General features: G+C 39.2%; 1 long non-coding RNA gene across 1 annotated transcript in view; it reads left to right on the top strand.

Moving 5' to 3' along the window:
* Positions 1-20056, top strand: part of LOC339975 (uncharacterized) — a 201531-nt gene that overhangs the window by 165162 nt on the left and 16313 nt on the right. The gene's annotated exons all lie outside the window — the stretch shown is intronic.

Raw genomic sequence — 20056 nt, 5'->3', positions numbered from 1 at the left:
TTGCCTGCTAATACAATATCCATTCTGTAGCCCATGGATCAAGGAGTAATTTGACTTTCAAGTCTTATTATTTGAGAACTACATTTCATAAGGCTATAGCTGCCATAGATAGTGATTCCGCTGATGGATCTGGGAAAAGTAAATTGAAAACCTTCTGGAAAGGATTCACCATTCTAAATGCCACTAAGAGCATTCATGATTCATGGGAGGAGGTCAATTTATCAACATTAATAGCAGTTTGGAAGAAGTTGATTCCTAAACTCATGGATGATATTGAAGTTCAAGACTAAAGTGGAGAAAGTATCTGCAGATGTGGTGGGAATAGCAAGGGAACTAGAATTAGAAGTCGATGTGACTGAATTGCTACAATGTGATGATAAAACTTGAAGTTGTTTGTTATGCGCAAGCCAAGAAAGTGGTTTCCTGAGATGGAAATGACTCCTGGTGATGATGCTGTGAATATTGTTGAAATGACAGCAAAGGGTTTAGAATATTACATAAACTTAATTGACACAGCAGTAGCAGTGTATGAGATTATTGATGCCAATTTTGAAAGAAGTTCTACTCTAGGTTAAATGCTGTTAAACAGCATCAAATGCTACAAAGAAATCTTTCATGAAAGGAAGAATTGCTGTGGCAAACTTCATTGTTGTCTTGTTTCTTAAAATTGCCACTGCCACCGCAACCTTCAGCAATCGCCACCCTGATCAGTCAGCAGCCATCGACATTGAGACAAGACCCTTCACAAGCAAAGTGATTACAACTCTCTGAAGGCTCAGATGATTATTAGCATTTTTTAGCAATTAAGTATTTTTAAATTAATACATATTGATTGGGTTTTTTAGACATAATGCTCTCACACACATAATAGACAGCAGTATAGTGTAAAGATAACTTTTATATGCACCAGGAAACCAAAAATTATTTGGCTCACTTTATTGTGATACTCTTATTGAGGTGGGCTGGAACTGAACCTGCAATATCTCTAAAGTATGCCTGTATTGGTTACAAACTCCACCAAACACTACTGTAATTTTTGTTTAAAAAGTCATGTATATTTTATTCTTATTATTAGTAGTATTACGTAGAGACAGCATCCAGCCTGAGTGCAGTGACAATCATGGCTCACTGCAACCTCGACCTCCTAGGCTCAAATGATCCTTCCACTTCAGACTCATGAGTAGTTGGGACTATAGGCATGTACAATATAGTATTGTTAATGATAGTCACCATGCTGTGCATAAACATAGTTGAGAGAGCAGCCAAAGAAAAGTTTAGATGAAGTTCACATGTATATTTGAGGGGCTCCCACCTTTGCTGCTCCTCTCTTCTGGAATTTTATACCTTATTTTCAGGCTCCTATAACAGCCCCAAAGTCAGACCTCTAACTGCTGTCTGATTTTTCAAGCTTGTAAACTGTGGCTATCTTCTTCAATCCTGGTTGTCCCATATGATGTGGACAAGGTGGTGCCCTGAGGCAAAAAAAAAAAAACCACACAAATGCAAATATCACCCAGTATAGTCCACCTCTTTCAAGGGTTGTTTTCCCTCCGTTGTCTACCCAACATTGGCCATTTGCCAGTGGCTTCAAATATTTTAAAAATAGTATTAAAATAGTTTTTTTTTCCTTACGGCAGGTTATTCTGATAGTAGTTACTCTGACATCATTCTATACTTTATAATAGCACATATTAGGTGCTCAAAATTGCAATGAGTAGGTACGTGACTCTTTAAATGGTTTATATATTGTTAAATATTGACAGCTACCTTAAGTACTTCTTAAAAATAATAGCTGACTACTATTTTAAGTTTTCAGATAAGGCCATAGTTTGAAATACATCAAAAAGTCAAAGTAGAGGTATATTTTGTATAACTTTGAAACTGAGGTGTGTTTAATAGAAAAATGTTCTAGCTTGATGAAGTAAATAGCCATACTATAAACATTTCAGTGTGTTGGGAGAAAAACTGACACTCTAGATGCTCATAAAATTCCACCCAAGGAGGAAAGGTGAATTTAATAAAAAATGAGGAAATGAGTTTATCTCCCTTTATCTCCCTATTTATGATTATGGATAAGAAAAACACATTCTTAAGACCTGAAATGAGGTAGAATAGAATAGATAATTTAATAAAAATTTGCATAATATTCTCTAGTGGGGCTTTTCTTTTTATTTCATTTTGAAATTACTTATGATTATCGATTATTAAATTTATAGCTCCTATTTATAAATTAAGTTTTCGGTCTGTAATTTATGTTGCTTTTGTATCTGTTTACACAAACCCCAAAGTGCTTGTGATTTATTTGTTTATCTTAAGAATGGAATAAAAAGGCTTACTGTACCTTTGAAGACTATAAATAATCTTGACATTGTTCTGTAGGACAGTGTGGAGAGTAGTGCTGCCTGAGGCTTTCACACTGTGAAGAGTTTCATCCTATTCATAAAGCACTGGGCTGCTTGGTGGCAGTATCAGATCCCTGACACCAGACAGCAGAGCTAGTATGATGAAGAGCCACAGCCCTCATTTTGAGGGCTATTATTCTTATTATTCTTAGTCTGAAACCATGCCCAAGAATATGGCAGCTCCAAAACTGTTATAGGCGGACTTCTCAATTCCCCGCAACAGCCGCCCACCAACTGCCAATGGTTTCTTCTACTTTGCTGTGCAAAGGTGGCACGGGCCCACCTCTTCGGCATGGATTTGCCTGACTCTGCTCAAAGATCCCCACGGTGTCCCTCTCCAATAGGAGAAAAGGGCAGACATCTTTCCTAAGGAGATGGAGGAGACAAAAATTATTCTAAATGCCCCAAATCTCAACCCTCAGACTATTTGTCACTGATTATATAAAACGGAACAGAGGGCGGGCTGCGGTGGCTCGCGCCTGTAATCCCAGCACTTTGGGGGGCTGAGGCGGGTGGATTACTAGGTCAGGAGATGGAGACGGTCCTGGCTAACACAGTGAAACCCTGTCTCTACTAAAAATACAAAAAATTAGCCAGGCGTGGTCGTGGGTGCCTGTAATTCCAGCTACATGGGAGGCTGAGGCAGGAGAATCACTTGAACTCAGGAGGCAGAGGTTGCAGTGAGCAGAGATCGTGCCACTGAACTCCAGCCTGGGTGACAGAGTGAGACTCCATCTTAAAAAAAAAAAAAAAAAGTAAAGAAAGAAAAAGTAAAAAAGAAACAGAGACACAGACACCCTGGGCATAGGAATAATGAACTTTCACAATAACAAAAAATGAAAGAAAACACCTCCCCGAGGGAGCATCCACAACACAGCAAAGCATTTCACTTTGGGCACAAAATTATTGAAACCTTATCATGTTATTTTTGACATATCTGAAATCTCCTTGGATAACCACAACTCCGTCAATCCTATTCTGTTATGCTTTGATTGCATTGATTTTTCTGAAGGTTGGGTTTTTATTGTGATGGCAGTAGGGAGAGAAAGAAGCTATTGATAGCAAAGGTATAGTGTAATCTGTAGCACTAAACCAAAATGAGGACATATCATTCAGTAAAGAATGTGTATGCCACTTCTAAGTATAAAAATAAATCTTGGCAGATGAGGCTTGAGTATCAAAATATTGGAATTTCCAAGATAATATCATAGTTTTTGGGGCCAATAATATAAAAAAGTATTTCAGAAAACTCAGGGTCACGTCGGTGTATTCAGAGCACAGAGTCACCGTGGGTGTAGTGTACAGGGCAACAGTTTATTGAAGAACTGCTTCCAGGTTTATTGAAGAACTGCTTCCAGGTTTATTGAAGAACTGCTTCCAGGTTTATTGAAGAACTGCTTCCAGGTTTATTGAAGAACTGCTTCCAGGTTTATTTGAAGAACTGCTTGCAGGTTTATTGAAGAACCGCTTCCAGGTTTTCTCTGAATGGCTTACAAAGAGCATGGAGCCAAAAAGACGAGGTGAGACTGCTGTGATTGTGACAATGGACAAGGCCCACGGAAACTCTTTTATAGTCACTGTCGCTGTATATAACTACCCAGTGCGACTTGCCTGGGAAAACATTGGTTCAAAACCAATGAAGCAAAGATTCTGTTGTATTATATTCTATGAAAATGAAATAAATCAACAAAATAAAATCATAGTGTACATCTAATGTGTGTTTTCTCCGTATACTCAGTTCTGTCCCCAAATTGTGGGATTAAATGGCATGGAAGAGAAAAACGGAAAAGACTTCCACGAACTGAACCAGTGTTCTCAAGGGCCTGCAGCGTCGAGGTGATTGGAAGGCCCCTTCTTACCGTGTCGGGGTGCCAAGTGACGCCTTGTAAGTAATAAATCTCTGATTTTGATTTTAAAGTCCTACCGGGCAGGATAATTCTTTTTGTATGGTTCCTAGAGCGGCGCTATGAGCATTTGAACATTTAATCAGTGCTACTTGATAATGAAGATAAGGTTTAACAGCACAGAATCAAATTGGTCCTGAGAGAAAAATATCTGACTCTCAGAACTAAGTGCTTTCTTCTGAGTTGCTGCAGAGCGTCTTCCCCAGCTCATCAGTGTGAAACATCCTCAGGTGAAGAGCCAGTTTCACACACCTTGAACCACCCCCAAGGTCAGGCCCAGGGACGGCTAAGAATAGAACACAGATTACATGGTCCACTTCACCGATAAACCTAGAAAACCAACAGTGATTCTTAAAGGGTCACTCGTGCATAAGGCCATTTTGCAGGAAGGTCATGCTGCCCCCAAACTGCCAGAAACCGAGAAGCACTCAAGGCCCAGAGGTCCTTAAAATGACTTGAGAGACTGATGAAAAGATAATTCACCTCTACTATCTAGGACACAGCTCCTTTCCTACGTGAGCGAATACAGTAAGCGCTGCCTCTTCACTCATCAGCATCGCATTTCCAAGTGCAGGCAAGGTCCTGACAAGCGGTCAGGGCCCAGGGCAGTCGCACGGGCTGGGAGGCAGGGCTGCGAGGTCCCGGGCAGGATTCCTAGGGCCGGTTCCAACTCTGGCTTTGTCTTCGTTGTTTCCTGCCTCAACCTGTTTTCAAATTCGACTAATTCTATGAGCTACCCAATATCCTAACAGTGTTTTTCTTGTTACTGTAACTGGAATCAATTTCTTGTTTTTCTTTTTTTTTTTAATGGAAGAACCTTAAGATATGAGTGATTCATAAACGTCTTCACTATCAAGGTATATTGACAGATAGAATAGTTCAACTTGGAACAGAATTTATTAAATGATACCATTTTGTTTAAATATATTAATATACGCATGGCAAAATAGAAAAATGGATACTAAACATTTCATAAGGTATGTATGACACCTTTGGAGAATAGAATTATAGGTTTCTTTCTTTTACCTCCTTATATATTTCTGTGTTTTCATTTTTTAACCAAACTATATTACTACGAAATAAGAAATTGAAATACTCATTACTAGAAAAGTTCATCAAAGAATCTGTATTTTCACAACCCTTCTAATCCACATGCTCTTGTCGCTTCAGCTATTAGATACGGTTGTGTTTACATGCAGAGCAGTAGCTCATTAAAGACCAGCGCCCAACCGCAGATGAGGGAGAGCAGGAGCAGAGCTCCTTATGATCAGGAGGTCACAGGTAACAATAGAGGTTGTGCATGGCTATTTACTAAAGAGAATTAGAAGTAGAAATTTAGCATGTTTTGTAGAGGGGTTGGGGAATGGGGGGGGTGGAGGGGGAGAGAGAGAGAGAGATTGAGAGAGAGAGAGATCAGCCTAAGACCAATAATTGAAATTCACCTAAAAAACTAACTAGCAGACATTGAGCTCTACTAACTGTCAGGTACTGCAATAGATAGTTTTACTTCCTTGTTTTTCCATTAACTCTTCTTTTAAAATTTTTTTGGTTGGTTAATTAATTTTTGTGTGTGTCAGTGAAAAAATATATTGAATTTCACCAGCTCTTAAGTGCAGAACTAAGACTTAAGCCCATGATCTCTGACTCTAAGTTCATTGCTTCTTTCGCTCAATCCACACACGCAAGGATTTAGTGAACTATATGTGAAATTTACAAGGCACCCTCAGTTTTGGGATCAAATACAAATTCTCTAACATCTGGGCTGTTGCATCCAGGAGAGATTTTGGCAGTAGATAACTTGGCAGCTGTCAGGCAGCTCCCATCTTCAGCTAAAGCAACTCACAGCCTCCTGCTCAGTGCTGTCTTGAATGTCCAGCCTTGTGAGGTTTACGGGCTCTCCTACAACAGATAGATGTGTTCTCCCATTATCCAAACCCTTTAGGAAAGAGTGGTTCACAGTTTGGGTGAAAGAAGGAGCTCAGGGTTTCAATTTCATAGATCTCATACCTCGGGCTCTGGAATTCCTCATATTGTTCTCATCCTTCCACATTAGGAAGAAGCCTCAGTATGAGGTGGAATTATTGGTGGTTGATTAAATACTCCTGTTGTTAGTAGGGCACATTATTTAAGTATGTTGTGTTTGATGTTTTGTTTTTAGGTTCAATGACAGATGGGCAATTCCATTCCTATCTAGTCTTGTTTATGACCAGGACATACCATTTACAAGATGACTTAGCTCAAGCTACAGCCATCTCTGCCACTAAAGAGAGCTAGCTGGTGTCCATGGACGGATTTCACTACATGAGCTTAGTGACTGTACTCTCTCAGTTCTGAGGGACAAGAGAGAACTCAAGTAGAGCACCCGAGTCCCACACGCCATCCTCCCTGCCCCTTTGTGGAACAGAAGCCCTACTTTCTCTTGATGATAGTGTCAGTTACATTTGCCGAGTTGGTGATTTTTTTGCTTGGCTGCTACTTCCTAGTGAACCCAAAGTGGCTTGGAACCCAAAGTGGCCAAGCAGCAATCACAACTTATTGCTGAATAGGACTCTTGTGTCTTCTGATGAAAGTGCTACCCTTTGAGGACTAGGATCTCTAACCCTGTAGAGCCTAGAGTCGCCAGAATGGAAAGCCCAAAGTCTCCTAGTGCCTACAGAGAATGATGGTAAGCAAGTTCACTTCTGATTTCGCTCCTGGCTTATCTGACCTATGTATTGTTCCTATTTGGGACACAGTGCTATTTAAAGTCTTTGCTGCAATGTGGATGCTGCATTCTGGAGGATTGTGACTCATCTTTATAAAACGTCACCACTGAGCTGGTGCTTCCGCTTTACTGTTAGCAGGCCTTCTAATGTTCTACTGTACCTGCAGCTTTCAGGGGCATATTGTGTAATATGAAAGATGGATCCCATGCCATCCTGCTTTCAAATGCCCTTTGCTATGAAGTGGATCCACTTATCTGATATAATGCTGTGTGGAATCCTGTGACAGTGGATCAAACAGTCTGTAAGCCCTTGGAGTAGGAAAGGCAAACCCAAACATGGAATATATGTCTACTTCTGTGAGAATGCATTGTTTCTCTTTCCATAGTAAAACAGATCCTTTTCTCTAAGTGGCCATTTGGTCATCTTCAGAGATGGTGCCATCTTGGGTACCTTGTGTGGGCCTCTGTTGCTAGCAAGTTGGACGTTTGGTGAAGAAATAGCTTGACCAGACTTGCTGAGCAGAAGCCCATACATCGCCTCCGTTTATTTCACTGTGATCACTTTGTAGTTGTGCTCTTTGTGCCAGGGCTGGAGTGGCCACTGACGGAGGCTCACTGACGTCCATTAACCAAGTTATTCTGTCTACTTGGGGTCTAGTGTCGTTTGTATGTGGATGTTCTCTTGTAGGTGTTAATGTGTGATCTTTATACTTAGTGTTCATGCCCATTTGGCCACCTACATGCCTCTATCTCAGACATCTTCGTCTTTGATAATTTAGATGTCTTCTTCCAGGTGTCTGAACAGCTTGGCCAGGCCATCCGCCACTGTTCATGAATCTGTATATAATCTACCATTGGGCCACTTTTCTGCCTGAAACTCTGCCCACTGTGGGAATATTTCCTCACCACAGTGTTTTAAGGCTATGCCTAAGTCATGCTGTAATGGGTAGCTCTTCTCTAATTTTGGGTTGCATCCACGCTCCCAGTCAACTCATCTATAATTCAACCTTGGATTTTCTTTTTCCTCCCGTCAGATATTTACAAGAAATTTCCCTCTCCCGCCACAGGGACATAAGTATGACATGAGAGAGAGGTGCTGCGTGATGAGGGAAACATGGAAATCTGGGATGCCTGGTTGTGCAATTTGCTTGTACTCGCTGGTTCTGCTCATATTCGATCCTGAATGTATCACTTTCATCAGATGATGGCGTTTTTTCTGGGTCCACCTGATCCAGTTGACATGCTGCACTTGATGTACCATGGTCAGGTTCTCTTACTGTAGCAGGGCCCAGTAATATGCCAGGAATTGTTTCTTCAGTGGTTTCCTTCTCCACTGCAGACGGCTTGGCAATGCTTCACACCTCTGGGGGCCTGTGCTGTGATTTCCTCACGGGGCTTGCCATATATTCCACATGGCATATTTTCCTACTGCAGAAAACTCTAATATCATAGGGTCTCCTGAGCTGAGTGGCCCAAGTGGCAGGGCTGCATGCACCGAAGTCTGGATGTGATGCAGAGGTTTCTTGCCTGTGTCTACTTTAAGCTGGCAGCCCTTCTTGTCAGTAATAAATGGGCCCGATCAGTATTCTCAGGTGTGGATTATGTGACCTCCAAAACCCAAAGAGACTGAAATTTCTTCATGGGGTGTAAGATGAAATAATTTATCTTTTAATTTTCATGGCATGCCTGTGACTATGCTTAAAATTTTTACTGATGTCAAAAGAATTCTGAATATTCACATGGTTCATCTCTCACCCTCTGAAGCCCATATGTCCAAACAAGGCATCCAACATACTAGCCACTTGCATATCCGCTCTGACTAACGTGATATGGTGGATAAATGTGATAATCTGCGGGTTATCCTGACAGTTCAGATCACTGCAGATTATGTTATGACAGGGGGAGGGGAATTAACATTGTCCCAGGCAAAACTGTAGATAGACACTTTTGTACGTTACATGTGAATGCAAACTGTTTAGGATTCTCTTTTCTGATAGAAATAGAAAAACAATCATTGGCTAAATCAAGGTCACATAGCATGTACTTCAGGTCCTATTCGTCAGTTCTATTAAAGATGTAAGCATGGAGGCTGCAATTCAGACGATGATGTGTCATCCTCGGGATCCTCTGGTTTCTGGAGGAGCCAGACTGTTGAGTTAAACAGAGATATGAGAATTATCCTTCAGATCTCATGGGGGGGCACTAATTTCTGTTCTCCCCCTCCTCACCCTGAGGTGCAATACTAATTTACTATTTTGGCTGTATAGGAGACTAGTTTCAGGGACATTCGCCTAGTCTTCCCACAATCATTGTTCTTTTTCTGTAGGCAAAGGATCCAATGTGGGACTGTAACTAATACCAAATATGTCTATTCCAATTATATATTTGAGGGCTGGAAAAATTACTCTTGAGTGGGTTAGCAGACCATGTGGACCCACTATGAGGCTGGTGTTGAACAGAATATCATTTTCTCCCTGCCCCTCATATTGCCTCACACTAGCAAAGGGACTCTAATGCTGTTTCAGGTCTCCAGGTATTAATATCAAGTCAGGCTTTGTTACCAGCATTCCCCATTTTTAACGTCCATTCTCCAGTGTGAGGTAAGCTGAGTTAATGGCCCTAGGTTCTTCTGGGGAAGGACAGAGAGAATCATTCCTTATAACCACTTGCCATGGTGTTACAGGGTCCTTCCTCCTGGAGACCTCATTCTTCTTCAATCAAGGGGTTCTAAGTCTGAAAACTGGCTCTGGTCCAGAAGTAAGACACAGGAAGCTGTCTATCCCTGTAGATGGCGGAGAGCTGGAGACTATCTCTCAAATCAGCACCTCAGCAGGGAAGGCATTACAGCCTTCCTTGAAGGGCGATCTGGTGGTGGATTGTTTTGCTACTACACACTCTCATTTATTTTAAAAACAAAATTCTCTTCGGGAAAACACATTAGTCTAAAGAAACCTCAATCAGTACTAGTTTTAGATAATTATAGGAGGAGCCTGTCAGATTTAGTGAAAAAGGAGACAGAGATTGCACACACCTTAGTGATTATGCCTGAGAGTGTGGCCTCACTATTGCAAGTGTTAGACATCATTATCAAAAGACCTTGAAAGATAACCCTTAAAAGCAATAACAAAAGTGGTTACATTGTGAGATCAAAATTAGATACACACAAAATTAAAAAAAAAAAAAGAAAACCAAAACCGTTTTAGTGCTATAGGAATTGACAGTCAACGATTATAACCAAATATTCAGTGGCAACATCCTACACTGACTCAAAAATTTCAATATCTCAAGAAACTGAAATGTAAGTGAAGATCTTGGACTGTAGGGAAAGGGTGAGACGATTCAAGAAGTGAACCTAGCAACAATCAAGTCTCCGATGTTAGAGGTGCAGATGAACAAGATGGCTAAGTGGTTTCTCCCTCCCTTGGTCCCGAGTGTGTCAGGCTCATGGTGTGGGGCTCTCCTGATCCCATGATCCATGGAAAGGCCTACGGTTTTCCTGGTGATCTTCTTGTGGCACTAAGCTTGGAACCATGTGACAGCTTTTCCAGAAATAGCCAATGCTGCTCTTCACTATAGCTAATCCGATCTATGCAGAATCACATTTTAACTCAAATAGGGAGAGTCACAAAGGAGAAAATATGGTATAGGAGAAATACTCAGAAACATGGAGAAGACAAAGAGGAGAATGGAGCGGCAGAAAACTTGACTTTAGAATTAGCAAAAATGTAGAAGAATGAAAATTCTGTGTGTGTGTGTGCGTGTATAATATTGCTTAGAGATAAATGCATTTGTTATTTTTGGCATTTTATTTTATTGTATGCTTTGGAGCTTTGTAGACAGCTTTAGGAAATCTCATTTGGTGGACAGTTGGCCTATTTCCTACAGTTTATCAGAGTCCTATTATACTTCAGTTCTCTCCTAAAGCATTTACTCTTGGCTGTGGATTGTCCGCAAATTCAATTAGCACACTCTCAACTCAATTTACCAAGTATTTAATAGCAAGACTGAGCAGAATGAGATTGAAAAGGGATTCCTCTAACACGCAAGGTGTAGTTAGGCTACTGAGAATAACTGCAATTCATATTCTAAAATTTTCCCCTTAAGATTGGGTTAAAATCAAAACTATTATTGTAACAGAAATAACAATAACCGACATTAGTATAGTACACATATTTCTACAAAACTGGTTCACAGCCATCATTTTTGTTATTCTTTTCAATAACCCTTTGAGGGCAACTAAGCATTACCGAATACATTCTTGATACAATATTGATCTGACTGGGGAAAATGTGAAAACAACCATTTATCTTTGTAATACTGATAAGAAAGCCTAAAATGGCTTGGGCAGTTTGTAATGCACTAAAGTTTACATTTTGCTCAATATTTTAGCATAGCCTTTTAACCCAGTTCCATAATAACAAACCATGCTTTTCTTGTCTCAAAGTATCCTCATCTATCTGTCATCTAACAAACTACTGGCTATTGTTTTCACAAATATGAAGGGGAAAATAGCAATCATCATTTACATTTTCTAATAGTAGATATCTATCCATGCATGCAACGGAGGAGTGCGGAATCACGCTGCCCTACACCTGCTAGTTTGGCATCTACTTTAGGAGGCTGCTGTATCTGATCATCCTCAGCTGACTTCTTCATTCCACTTCTCCTGCAGAAACCTTTGTGCAAAGTATTTGCACTGACTGCAGAATGAATGAAGAGGCTACATGGAAAACTTCATTGAGCTTCCTTTGACTCCCTGGAATTCAAAACCATCAAATACTTTTTTTTTTTTTGAAACTTCAGAATGTTACTCTAAGAACTAAGCCTACTCTGGACAGATAGCACATTTTCCTGCATTCCCAGCAGCAAGGAGTCACAAGGAATTGTTTTAGAAACCTTTGGCCCCAACCTTCTCTGACCGTGATCATGTATTTTAAAGTTACCATGATGCCAACACAGATTTATACTGCTCTTCCTGGAGGAAAAACCGTAGTATCTCTGTGCCTTAAGACATAGTTATGGTTTTAAATTCCAGCCATTATTTCTCAAGGAATCTACCGTGGACTCTGTGGTGGCTTTTATAATAGACATAGCACATGCCTATGGGCCACCTGGCCTTGTGGACTGCTTGGCTCAAGCCGCCCCCTGGGTTCATGATGCTCTCCCTTGCCTGGCTCACTCGTCTCTTTCCTAACAGAAGCTGCTGATGGAGACAGTGCAAGCCTTCATCTTTCGCAAATTTCTGACCCTCTCTGGATGTGTATGGAGATCCCCAAGGCCCCAGAGCAGTGCTCTATAGTTAGGGGTTTCTCCTCTGCACCCAAATTTTCCACCTCTAACCTAAAAAGGCTGAAGGCTTTATAGGAGCCTGCTCTGATTCCATGGAAATGAGTCTATATTTGTAAAAGGCTTTGCTGAAATCCTTGATATTTTTCATGACACTGAGATTTTATGAGAATATTATTTCTCAATCAATCCCATCTCTCTTTTTCTCTTTCAAAACTTCATGTCATCTTTGTTACTCTCTAAGGTGCTTTTATTCCCTTTTGCAATCAAGGCTGGGCAAGCCACCAGGCAGATGTTATAAATGTCTCCATCTCTGTGAGAAGATATATGCAGTTTTAACATGACCCATAAGACTGCAGTTATGATGCAGCTTTACCATGACCCAGATAAGAAAGTCTTCAGTAACACAGAGGAGAGTTTAATTATCACATCAAAATTTTGCTATGTTTTTTTCAATGCACTTTGGCTGTGAACCCAAGTGCAAGGTGCAAAATAAATTTTAGTGCCATTGTCTTAATTTGGGTCCCCATAAAGCAAAGGTTGTGTTGGCATATGCTACTCTTTTGTTAGGGAGTGTAAACTTAGGGAGACAGGAGTGGAGGGAAAAGAGTAGTGATATAGGAAAGGAGGGAGAGTTACCCACTTCTAGTTACCAGTTACTCTTGCCTAGTCAGCCTCCCAGGCAGTCCCATGTCCATGGCAATCCTTGCTCACCTAATGGCAGTGATCAATGGAAGACAGTTATATATTTTCCAAAATAGAAATTCACATCACTCTTTAAATTGTATCCGGAAATAGACTTAATATCCAAGCAATGCCATCATAACTTTAGTAATAACATGGCATGACTTATTTACTGACAACTTTGAAATGATTCATTTTTTTCAGAGTTGATGAAATCCATAAATTTAAATTAGTGTAAGATTTAAAGCCTAATTGATAATCTCCTCTCTCTTCGCACCCTTCTCCCTGTGCCACAAACACACACGTGTACTAGAAAGGCCCCCTAGAAAACAAGAGGTATTTATGGTTAGAGGGAAAAAAATGAGATAAAAAGAGCCACACGCCATGTTTGTAGAGACAATGTAGGGTCTCTTGTTTGCAATGACCCCTGAAAACTCTTAAAGAGGAAAAAGGACATCTTCCCATGTCTTGTATGCACACACTAAGGAACTGATTTAACTGATGGGTTCAATATATTTCTGAATGTAATGATTGATATGGTTCGGCTGTGTCCCCCCCAATCTCATCTTAAATTGTAGCTCTCATAATTCCCATGTGTTGTGGGAGGGACCCAGTGGGAGACGATTGACTCATGGGGGCAGTTTCCCCCATACTGTTCTCATGGTAGCGAATAAATCTTACAAGATCTGATGGTTTTAAAAGGTGAAACCCCTTTCGCTTCGTTCTCATTCCCTCTTGTCTGCTGCCGTGTAAGACGTGGCTTGTGCCTTTCGCCTTCTGCCATGATTATGAGGCCTCTCCAACCATGTGGAACTGAGTCCATTAAGCCTCTTTTTCTTTATAAATTACCCAGTCTCAGGTATGTCTTTATCAGCAGCGTGAAAACCGAGTAATACAACGATTGAATTAGAATCAAGTGAATGGCCACAACTAAATGCTACAAAAATCCCAGGCTTTTCTCACACTGTGATTTTATCTCAGCTTAGAAGTTCTGACTAGTTATTTCATTATTCACACATGTAATATAGTCATCCTATCTATAAGCTCAGTAGTTAACATTTGACCTCATTTGTTGTGTTTGTTTTTCAAATAATGAAGCACCTGTGAGCCATACATCGTCACTATTTTTCCTGATTTGCAAAATTCACTTCCACCCTTTTAAGGCCGAGATACCTTTAGCTAGATCAAATTTAATGAGATGACCTCTCTTGCATAATTCCCATCAAAGATGTACAGAGAGATGCTCTTTTACTACATGGATAATTATCAACCAATTTTCCAAAATGCTCAGCAACATGCCTGGAAGAAAACTCACATAGATTGATGTATGTGATGAGAAATTATTTCCACAATTTCTTATTACTTCACTCAATCTGCTCGTGGCCATGGAAAACACAAACATGGAGGAATGTGTTTTAAAACAGTAGCAACTGGATGAATGGGTCATTTGCCTGAAACGCAATAAAACAGGAGATTTTGGTTTCTATTATAATAAATATCTGCAGGATGGTGATGTGTGACGTAGCTCAAGGAATCTTACCCTGGGCTCGATGAGCAGCAAGAGGCTCCGCAGACCCATCCCTATATTTATTCCAGGTGCATTTTCACATGTACCAGTGCCCTATTCATGTGAATCCCTGCTGTATTACTACTAGGTAAGCAGAGGTGGGTAGGTGTTGTGGGATGCAGGAAGATGGATATTTGAATGGGAACAGGAACATAGCAAGCAAGTATGGCAAAGTTCAAGGGCAATTAGCTCTGAAGGCAGATAGGACTCACAATGTGGTCCTCATGATGAAACAATTGCTTCCCTCTGTTCTGCTGTATGTGCTTATTGGTTGATAGCCTAGAGGAATAATCCTTGAAATTTCTGACTTATAAACTCAGCATATCTAACTGAGAAAAATCCTGGGGGTGTAAGAAAGGGGGGAAATCAACACAAAATCAGTGTGTGAAACACTTCAAGGAGAATACAGTACCAGGTCAGAAGCAGAATACTTTATAGAGGTAGAGTTGGTTCCTAAAAGACTGCAAAATCTTTGTTCAAAGGAACAGATAAAAGAAACTTGAGTGCAGTTTTGAACGTAGTAAAGACTTTGTATTTGATAACATTACCTTATTGTTACCCACGTACCTCTGATATAGCTGTATTATTTTTTAGGGCTATCAGAAGTCAAAGTTAGTACTAAGTTTTCTATTAGTGTAGAATATCTGAGTTGCTAGGTTTTGAAAAGGGACATCTTCTCAACTTCTACTAAAATCGAAAATGGATTAGAATGCTGATTCATTTGAGAATTTTATTCTCTCTTTCTTTCTTTCTTTCTTTCTTTCTTTCTTTCTTTCTTTCTTTCTTTCTTTCTTTCTTTCCTTCTTTCATTTATTTTGAGACAGAGTCTTACTCTCTCACCTAGGCTAGAGTGCAGTGGCGTAATCTCGGCTTGCTGCAACCTCCGCCTCCTGGGTTCAAGCAATTTTCCTGCCTCAGCATCCCCAGTAGCTGGCACTACAGGCACGTGCCACCACGTCCAGCTAATTTTATTTTTAGTAGAGATGGGGTTTCACCCTGTTAGCCAGGATGATCTTGATCTCCTGACCTCATGGTCTTCCCGCCTCAGCCTCCCAAAGTACTGGGATTACTGGCGTGAGCCACCGCACCTGCTGAGGATTGTATTTTATTTCTGTACTTGTCATTCATTTTTTTCTCCAGAAGAGCTTGAAATACTAAGAATTTAAGAATTTTAAAAGGTGATTCGATACCCAATTAAATAGAATGATGAAAGTTTAATGTAACAAAATTAACAACGTATGAAGGATAATATTTTAGATATTTGATATTTGACAATTTTTGTTTGTTTTCCACACAGGATGCCCTGTTTGCGTTGTAAGCACGGCGTTATTCCTCAGCTTTACTGACACTCTCTGAACAGCACTGTGACATCAGTGATCGTTTTTATGCCTGAAACTGGGTTTCAGCCCCTCTAATTAGAAGACCAGGCAGATGTGTGTGTATACAAATATATACGTATATAAATGTGTGCATCTGTATGTATATATGTATACACACACAACCTATGTTGTACAGGCTATATGTTAAGCAGATTAAAAATGTCCTTATAAATAAGTATAAAGCAACGTTTCCTTGGCTGTGCTTCTATCTCAGATATCTGTAACAAAACTCAGAAAGAGGCCAATGTAGCCAACGGTATCTTTTTCAGAGGTAATGCAAGTGACAAAAATAATATCTTTTTCTAATTTGATTATGATGCGGCTGATGTGCCTCACGGTTCAGGAGTCCCACTCCTGTTTCAGATATTAGCTTGATCAAAGGTTATCGTTTTATGACACCCAATCCCTGGGCCGCATTTCATTATATTATACAACCCAGCATGCTTACCCGGTATAGGCTGCCCTGAACTTCTGCAAAATCTCACAGAGCCTTTAGTGAAACAGTTTTTCTATATATTTTACTGTCGTCTACCCTTTTAAGAGCTCCAACACAAGCCTCTGGTATGGGTCAGGCAGGGACAAAGTGGAGAAAGAAAGGCACATAAGCAAGGTCTTTCACGGCAACTTATTATCCTGGGACCCAATTTGAACACCTAGAAACTCTCTCTCCTGCCGTGAACTCTTCCTGAGTCACTTGTACATGACCAAACACATCTGAATCCTTTGGAGAACAAAGTGTAAGCTCAAAACTTTTCCTACTATACGACAGCGAGAAAGGAAGATATGTCCACATTAATTCAAATTTTACAACAATACAATGCATTCTACCCAAGATTCACATGCACACCATAATGCCAAATGCCAACCCCTAGCTGATTAAAGAAATCAGTTAACATCATGAGAAACTAATCCTTAATTTCTCCATAGTAATTTAAGAGAGATGATGTCCCACTCGTGAAACATCCTAAAGTTCTGGAGAAGGGTGCTGTCATTAATACATGCCTGTGTGTACACCTAATTTATCACCTACGTTTACTTTATGCTTCTAAAAATGCTTTTTAAGGAAAAATATCATGGCTCAGTAGCTCAAAAAATTAGTTGAAAAGGTTAGATACCCTATAATGCAGGGAAATTTAATTTTTTCTACTATTCAAAGTATTGCCTTTTAGTTCATATGGATAAAATATATTATTGTGATTTATCAAAAAGTATGTGTATTAAACTATTGAAATAAAATATATTATAAAACCACTCACTTATTTTTGCTCACTTATCATTTCAAGTGTTAGTACATGTAATTACCATTTATATAGGGTCATTCACATACATATCAAAAAAGACTTTTTTCCAAGAAAAAGTTTCATATCATCCAAATCTCACTGTGTCTTTTACCAAACAGTTCACATTCAGTTTAATTTTATTGTCCATATCTGGATTGGAAATTGTTTCATATTTTTAAAAAACTATTCTTATTACAAAGTATCCTTCATATCTCATAAATTAATTAACTTTAGTAAGGACATCTAATTAATTAAATATTCCTAAGTATAGATCTTGTTGACTTAGTTTAAAGATATCTGACAAATAGTAGCAGTGCCTGAAGTTCGTAGGGTAGGAAAAAAGAGTTGTCATGCCAACTGCATGGTCATTGTGTGACCACAGGGGGAAAGACACATGCCTCACTGAACCTCCAGCTGGTTAGACTGTACTCTACCACATGAACCCTCCGATTATCATCCCCACTTATACATTTCCATTGTTGTGGGATGCTCCAACTGTTCAGCTATGTAATGGAAATTCATGGCTTCCTATGATGATGAATGATTCATATGATTTAAAGACATGAGATTTACTCTTGAGAACACATTATTTTATTATTAATAATTTTGACTATCCAGTTTTTACATAAACCAAAGTCCCAACATAATGTAAACTAATGCACTAAATCTAAAAGATAAAATTCATCAAGCCTTCCAAAAATTATTTTCACATTTTTATTTGTACTTTTATGGCTCAGAAGCCTTTTTATTTATTTTTTTCTCTTAGCTATAACCATTTGACTTTCTTCTGTCGATTAATGTTGTTCAAAAAAAGGCCAAAAAGAAAGGAAAAGGCACTATGGCATATTTGTTGCTGCACGGTATTCAATTTGAATTTGTATTGATCACTGGAGTCAAACTACATCTGAAAAAAATGGAGTCAAAATAGGAAAAACTTTCTGGATCAGGAAAAGACAGTGACCTTCCTCTGTCTGCTATTAAATAGCATCAGGCCTTTGAGTAATTATTGATAATGCCCATTTTGAAGCCACATTGTAAGGTTCTGAAAATGCATTTGAGAATTTTATCCACTCTAGGAGTAGTAGCTTGTGTTTTTTGGTTAAAAAACTTTTCCTTAAGAACAAGAAAACAGAACTTTATATAATATATGTTTTCAAAGCCCTCAGCTATCCGTTGCATTATCTATCTTGCTCTGTTTTCTAGCTTTTCATCCTTTTGCCAATAATATTTTATTTTAATAACTTGTCTTATCTTGAGCAGTTTCTCAAAATAAGGAGCCTAACCACAGCTCACATAGTTTCAAAATAGAATCATGAAGAAGGAAAGCCAAGGTAAAGACGGGGAGTATGTTTTATCCACTCATGAATGATTTTCCATTTGTTTGTGTCATCTCTGATTTCTTTGAGCAGTGGTTTGTAATTCTCATTGTAGAGATCTTTCACCACCCTGGTTAGTTGTATTCCTAGGTATGTTATTCTTTTTGTGGCTATTGTGAATGGGGTTGTGTTCTTGATTTGGCTCTAAGTGTGGAAGCTGTTGGTGTAGAGAAATGTTATGGATTTTTGTACATTGATTTTATATCCTGAAACTTTGCTGAAGTTGTTTATCAGATCTAGGGGCTTTTGGGCAGAGACTATGGGGTTTTCTAGGTATAGAATTATATCATCTGAAAACAGAGATAGTTTGATTTCCTCTCTTCCTATTTGGATGCCTTTTATTTCTTTCTCTTGCCTGATTGCTCCGGCTAGGACTTTCTAGTACTGTGTTGAATAGGAGTGGTGAGAGAGGGTGTCCTTGTCTTGTTGTGATTTTCAAGGGAAATGCTTCCAGCTTTTGCCCATTCCGTATGATGTTGGCTGTGGGTTTGTCATAGATGGCTCTTATTATTTTGAGGTAAGTTCCTTCAGTGCCTAATTTGTTGAGAATTTTTAACATGAAGGGATGCTGAATTTTATCAAAAGTCTTTTCTGCATCTATTGAGATGATCGAGTGGTTTTTGTTTTTATTACTGTTTATATGATGAGTCATATTTACTGATTTGCATATGTTGAACCAACCTTGCAACCCTGGAATAAAACCTACTTGATCATGGTAGATTAGCTTTTTGATGTGCTGCTGGATTCAGTTTGCTAGTATTTTATTGAGGATTTTTGCACTGATATTCATCAAAGTTATTGGCTTTATGTTTTCTTTTGTTGTGTTTCTGCCAGGTTTTGATATCAGGATGATGCTGGCCTCATAGAATGAGTTAAGGAGAAGTCTCTTCTCCATTTTTAGGAATAGTTTTAGTGTAAATGGTACCAGCTCTTCTTTATACATCTGGTAAAATTCAGCTGTGAATCTGTCTGGTCCCGGGCTTTTTCTTGTTAGTAAGCTTTTTATTACAGATTCTATTTTAGAACCAATCATTGGTCTGTTCAGGGACTTAATTTCCCTCTGGTTCAATCTTGGGAGGCCGTATGTTTCCAGAAATTTATCCATTTCATCTAGGTTTTCTAGCTTCTGTGCATAGAGGTATTTGTAGTAGTAGTCTGAGAGTTTTTTGTATTTCTGTAAGTTTGGTGATACTGTCCCCTTTGTCATTTCTGACTGTGTTTATTTAGATCTTCTCCTTTTTTCTCTATTAGCCTATCTAGTGGTCTATCAATCTTTTTTGTTCTTTGAAATTACCAACTTCTTGATTTGTTGACCTTTGATATGTTTTTTCTGTCTCAATCTCTTTCAGTTCCGCTCTTGATTTTGGTTATTTCTTGTCTTCTGATAGCTTTGAGGTTGGCTTACTCTTGTTTTTCTAGTTCTCCCAGGTGTAATGTTAGGTCATTACTTTGATCTTTTTAACTTTTGAATGTG

The sequence above is a fragment of the Homo sapiens genome, chromosome 4, assembly GCF_000001405.40.
Source record: "Homo sapiens chromosome 4, GRCh38.p14 Primary Assembly".
NCBI lineage: Eukaryota > Metazoa > Chordata > Mammalia > Primates > Hominidae > Homo > Homo sapiens.
Note: the sequence above shows the minus strand (reverse complement) of the source record. Positions and strands in the feature narration are given on the sequence as shown.